The sequence below is a fragment of the Homo sapiens genome, chromosome 1 (assembly GCF_000001405.40).
Source record: "Homo sapiens chromosome 1, GRCh38.p14 Primary Assembly".
In the NCBI taxonomy this organism is placed as follows: Eukaryota; Metazoa; Chordata; class Mammalia; order Primates; family Hominidae; genus Homo; species Homo sapiens.
This window is the reverse complement of record NC_000001.11, coordinates 27,914,943-27,921,049: the sequence shown is the minus strand read 5'-3', so window position 1 is coordinate 27,921,049 and position 6,107 is coordinate 27,914,943.

Genomic DNA, 6,107 nt, shown 5'->3' with positions numbered 1-6,107 from the left:
AGTAGCTGGGATTACAGGCGCCCACCACCACGCCCGGCTAATCTTTTTGTATTTTTAGTAGAGACAGGGTTTCACCATGTTGGCCAGGCTGGTTTCAAGCCCCTGACCCCAAGTGATCCGCCAGCCTCAGCTTCCCAAAATGCTGGGATTACAGGCACGAGCCATCGCGCCTGGCCCACTTATTATTATTATTATTATCTTTTTTTTTTTTTTTTGAGACAGAGTCTTGCTCTGTTGCCCAGGCTGGAGTGTAATGACAGGATCTCTGCTCACTGCAACCTCTGCCTCCTGGGTTCAAGCAATTCTCCTGCCTCAGCCTCCGGAGTAGCTGGGATTACAGGTGTCCACCACCACGTCTGGCTAATTTTTTGTATTTTTAGTAGAGACGAGGTTTCACCATGTTGGCCAGGCTGGTCTTGAACTTCTGACCTCATGATGCACCTATCTCAGCCTCCCAAAGTGCTGGGATTATAGGCATGAGCCACCATTCCCAGCCCCAGCCCACTTTTACGGATTTTTTTCAACCAATTGCAGATTGAAAATATAGTATTTTCAGAACACGAAACCTAGTATAGGAGGGCTGACTTTGCATATTAGCAGGTTCCACAGGGCCAACTATGGGACTTGAGTATGGGCAGATTTTGGTATACTGGGGGTCCTGGAACTGATCCCTTCTGTATACTGAGGAACAAATGTAGTTGTGAATGAAATGTTCTGCTCCACTCTCTGATATTGAAAGTAATTCTATCAGTATTATCCATTCATAATGAGTATTACTGGTAGAAATAATCAGTGTAATTTAAAACTGAAAACAGCTAAAACTCCATCTAGTAAAATTACCTTAGACCAAAAAAATTTTTGGAAAATCACATGTGTTTAACATTGAAAACTATTTTAAAAAATCACCCCAGGCCAGGTGTGGTGGGTCACACCTGTAATCCCAGCACTTTGGGAGGCCAAAGCGGGTGGATTGCCTGAGGCTGGGGGTGTGAGACCAGCCAATGTGGTGGAACCCCGTGTCTACTAAAAATACAAAAAATTAGCCGGGCGTGGTGGCAGCCACCTGTAATCCCAACTACTTGGGAGACTGGGCCAGGATAATTGCTTGCATCCAGGAGAGAGAGGTTGCAGTGAGCTGAGATTATGCCACTGCACTCCAGCCTGGGCTCGACAGAAGGAGACTCCCTCTCAAAAAAAAAAAAAAAAAAAAAAGTTGGGCGAGCATGGTGGCTCACGCCTGTAATCCCAGCACTCTGGGAGGCCGAGATGGGTAGATCATTTGAAGTCAGGAGTTTGAGACCAGCCTGGCCAACATGGTGAAATCCCATCTCTACTAAAAATACCAAAAAAAAAACTTAGCTGGGCGTGATGGCACATGCCTGTACTCCCAGCTACTCAGGAGGCTGAGGCAGGAGAATCACTTGAGCATGAGAGGCAGAGGTTGCAGTGAGCTAAGATTGTGCCACTGCACTCCAGTCCGGGTGACAGAGTGAGACCCTGTCTCAAAAAAAAGAAAAAATCACTCCAAATCAAATTATACTTCATACAAATAAGGAGCACCCATAAAATGACAGTGGCAGATGTAAAAAATCTGTAAAATTTGATCGGGATCTAATTTTTATTGATGAAATAAATTTTCATTGTAAACTCTGCCCAGGAAATACTCCACAAAAATGATTTCTGCAGAATTAAAATGGCAAAAATTGGAAATGGGTAACTTACAGTGTACAGAATATTGAACAGAGAATTAAGTATAAATGGAAATTCACCAATATTGGGTCAGATCTGATTAAAATATGTATATTTATGAAATGGAGGCAAAATGACATTGGAGGTTAAAATGGCAGGTCTAAAACATTGAGACATATATTAAACACTTAGCAGAGCAAATAACGCATGTACCTGGCAGGTGGTACGTACTCAACAAAGAGCAGATTGGGTTAATTTTTCCTCTCTCTTTAAAACAATAAAGTTTTTAATTGTGGTAAAATATATATAACCTAATACTTAGGACTTTAACCATTTCAAGCGTACAGTTCAGTGGCAATAAATATATTCACGTTGCTGTACAACCATCACCACTATCCACCTCTGGGACTTTTCCATCTTCCCAAACTGAAATTCTTTACTCATTAAATACTAATTATCTATTGCCCTCTACAACCACTATTTGACTCTTTTGTTGCTGTTGTTGTTGTTGTTGTTGTTGTTGTTGTTGTTGTTTTGAGACAGGGTCTGGCTCTGTCACCCAGGATGGAGTGCAGTGGCGCGATCTCTCCACCTCCCGGGCTCAAGCCATCTTCCCACCTCAGGTCTCCCAAGTAGCTGAGATTACAAGTGGGCACCACCATGCCTGGTTAATTTTGTATCCCTTTGACTTTCTGTGCATATGAATTAGACTACTCAAGGTACCACATATAAGTGGAATCAGATAATATTTGTCCTTTTGTGACTGGCTTATTTAACTTTGCAGTTTTTGAGGTTCTCCACATTGTAACATGTCTCAGAATTTCCTTCCTTTTTAAGGCTGAATATTAATCCACTGTATATCTATACCACATTTTGTTTTGTTTATCCTTTTATGTGTCTGCTTCCACCTTTGGATATCATGAATAATGCAGCTATGCACGCAGGTGTTCAAATATTTCCAAGTTCTCCCATTCAATTCTTTTGGGTATAGACACAGAAGTCGAATTGCCGGGTCATATGGTAATTCTATTTGTAATTTTTTGAGGAACCACCATACTGTTTTCCATAGTTGCTGTGCCATTTTACATTCCCAGTAACAGTGCACAAAAGTTTCGATTTTCCACATCCTCACCAACATTTGTTGTTTTCTATTTTGTTTAATAGTGGCAATCCTAATGGGTGTGTCACCAGATTGGTCTTAAAGGATGATCTCAGCTGGACCACACCTGTAATCCTAGCAGTTTGGGAGGCTGAGCTGGGCGGATCACTTGAGCCCAGGGGGTCGAGATCAGCCTGGGCAACATGGCAAAACCCCGTTTCTACAAAAAATACAAAAATTAGTCAAGTGTGGTGGTGCACACCTGTAGTCCCAGCTATGTAAGAGGCTGAGGCGGGAGGTTCACCTGAGACCAGGGAGGTTGAGTCAAGGCTGTGGTGAGCTGTGATCATGCCACTACACTCTAGCCTGGACAATACAGCAAGACCCTGACTCAAAAAAAAAAAAAAAAAAAGACGACGATTTCTCTTCTTCTCAGTCTTACTTTAGATTTCCCTGACAGCCCCCAGTCTGGGAATAAAGTGTACAACCTGCCTGGAGAGGGAAGTGGAAGACCTCCCAGAAATTACTTTTATGTGACAGGAAGACTTCAACTTGACAAAACTAAATTAAGAGATGAGTTTACTACCACATCCACACACAGAGTACATACCAATTACTTTAGCACTGATTGAGAACTGACTCCTCTATTTGACTTATCAGATCACCCTGGTCTTGAAATCCTGGGTGAAAGTCTGATTTCGATATTTGGCATTGTGTTATATTTTAAGACATTTTAATTTCTTTCTGTTTTCTATTTTGTTAAGAGATAGGCTCCTGCTCCCTTGTCCAGGCTGGAGTGTACTGGCCATTCACAGGCAAGATCATCACACACTGTAGCCTCGGACTCCTGGGCTCAAGCAATCCTCCAGCCTCAGCCTCCCAAGTAGTTGGGACTGTATGGTGTGCCACTGCACTTGGCTGTTTCTGGTTTATTTATTTATTTTTTGAGACGGAGTCTTGCTCTGTCGCCCAGGCTGGAGTGCAGTGGCGCAATCTCGGCTCACTGCAAGCTCCATCTCCCGGGTTTACGCCATTCTCCTGCCTCAGCCTCCCGAGTAGCTGGGACTACAGGCACCCGCCACCATCTGATTTATTTTTAAAGAGGAAGGAGGAAGGGGAAGGAGGAAGGAGAAGGAGGACAAGGAGGAGAAGAAGCAGGAGGAGGAGGAGGGAGGAAGGAGGAAGGAAGGGGAGGGGGGGAGAAGGAAGGAAGGAGGGAGGGAAGGAGGAAGGAAGGAGGGAGGGAGGGAGGAAGGAAGGAGGAAGGAAGGAAGGAAGGAAGGGAGGGAGGGAGGGAGGAAGGAAGGAGGAAGGAGGAAGGAAGGAAGGGAGGGAGGGAGGGAGGGAGGGAGGGAGTTGGGTTTGTAATCCCAGAAGGATTACGAACGAGGCTGAGGCAGGAGAAAGGAGGAGGAGGAGAGAGGAGGAGGAGGGTGGAGGAGGAAAGAGGAGGAGGAGGAGAGAGGAGGAGGAGGGTGGAGGAGGAAAGAGGAGGAGGAAGGGGGAGAGAGGAGGAGGAGGAGAGAGGTGGAGAAAAAAAGAAGGAAGGGGGAGGGAGCTGGGCCTGTAATCCCAGAGATCGCGCCATTGCACTCCAGCCTGGGCGACAGAGTGAAACCCTGTTTTACACACACACACACACACACACACACACACACACACACAAAGCCAGGCCTGTGGCTCACGCCTGTAATCCCAGCACTTTGGGAGGCCGAGATGGCAGATCACCTAAGGTCGGGAGTTCAAGACCAGCCTGACCAACATGGAGAAACCCCGTCTCTACTAAAAATACAAAAAAGAAATTAGCCGGGCATGGTGGCGTATCCCTGTAATCCCAGCTACTTGGGAGGCTGAGGCAGGAGAATCGCTTGAACCCGGGAGGCGGAGGTTGCAGTGAGCCGAGATCGGGCAATTGCACTCCAGCCTGGGCAACAAGAGCGAAACTCTGTCTCAAAAAAAAAAAAAAAAAAAAGAAAGAAAGAAAAAGAAAAGAAGAGAAAAAGAAAAAAAAGGAAGGGGGAAGGAGTTGGGGGAGGAAGGGGGATGGGTGGGAGGAAAGGGGAGGGGGCAGGAGGGAGGTGGAGAGGAGGCAACCAGGGAAATCTGTTTAATTAAAACACGCGATGCGATTTCTGCCCAGTGCTCTGAATGTCAAAGTGAAGAGTAGGAGGAAGAAGAAAGAAGAAAGCAGGGTGCAGTGGCTGACGCCTGTAATCCCAACACTTTGGGAGGCCAAGGTGGGTGGATCACTTGAGGTCAGGAGTTCGAGACCAGCCTGACCAGCATGGCGAAACCCCCGTCTCTACTAAAAATACAAAAATTAGCCGGGCGTGGTTGCACGTACCTGTAATCCCAGCTACTCCGGAGGCTGAGGCAGGAAAATCGCTTGAACCCGGGAGGCGGAGGTTGCAGTGAGGTGAGATCGCACCATTGCACTCCAGCCTGGGCAACAAGAGCAAAACTCAGTTTCCGAAAAAAAAAAAAAAAGGAAAAAGAAGAGAAGAAAAAAACACACAGTCCTGGAGCCCAAAGGCCATGTCTATCTTACTTAACCATTGAATCCCAGTGGCCAGCACAGGGCCAGGAACAAAGAAGGCATAAACAATTCTATTTTTTTTTTTTTTTTTTTGAGTCGCAGTCTCTCTCTGCCACCTAGGCTGGAGTGCAGTGGCAGCATCACAGCTCACTGCAGCCTGGACACCCCAGGGCCAGGTGATCCTCCCACCTTAGCCACCCCAGTAGCTGGGACCCCAGGCACTTGCCACCACACCAGACTAATTTTTAAAAATATTTTTTGAGAGAGGGTCTCACTATGTTGTCCAGGCTGGTCTCAAACTTCCAGCCTCAAGCGGTCCTCCTGCCTCAGACCCCATTTGCTGGGTTTACAGGCATGAGCCACAGCACCTGCTAATTTTTCTTAAATACATAAATGAACATAAAATTCTAACAATGCATGAGTATTTTGAGGAAGGAACTGACAAAATGTTCCACTCCCTATGGGAGGCACGTTATATGAAGAATTATGAAAAATGGTCGAAATGACTGGAGAGGCCAAGCCTGGATGAGACTGGGATGGGGACAGGTGCGGGACGAGGGGCACCACCCTCACATCTTTCACAAGTCTGTCATAGGCAAGAGGGCGTAGGTTTCTCACAGCCCCACTGGGGAGAATCGGCACCATTGGTGGCATTACACGAAGAGAATGTGACCTCCTATGTAAAAGAACAAGCAACTCCACGCGGTGCTGTGAGGCTAGTGCTGCGAGTCCCTGAGGTGCGCAATTCCCGCACGACCGTGGGTGGGAAACACCGAAGCCAAA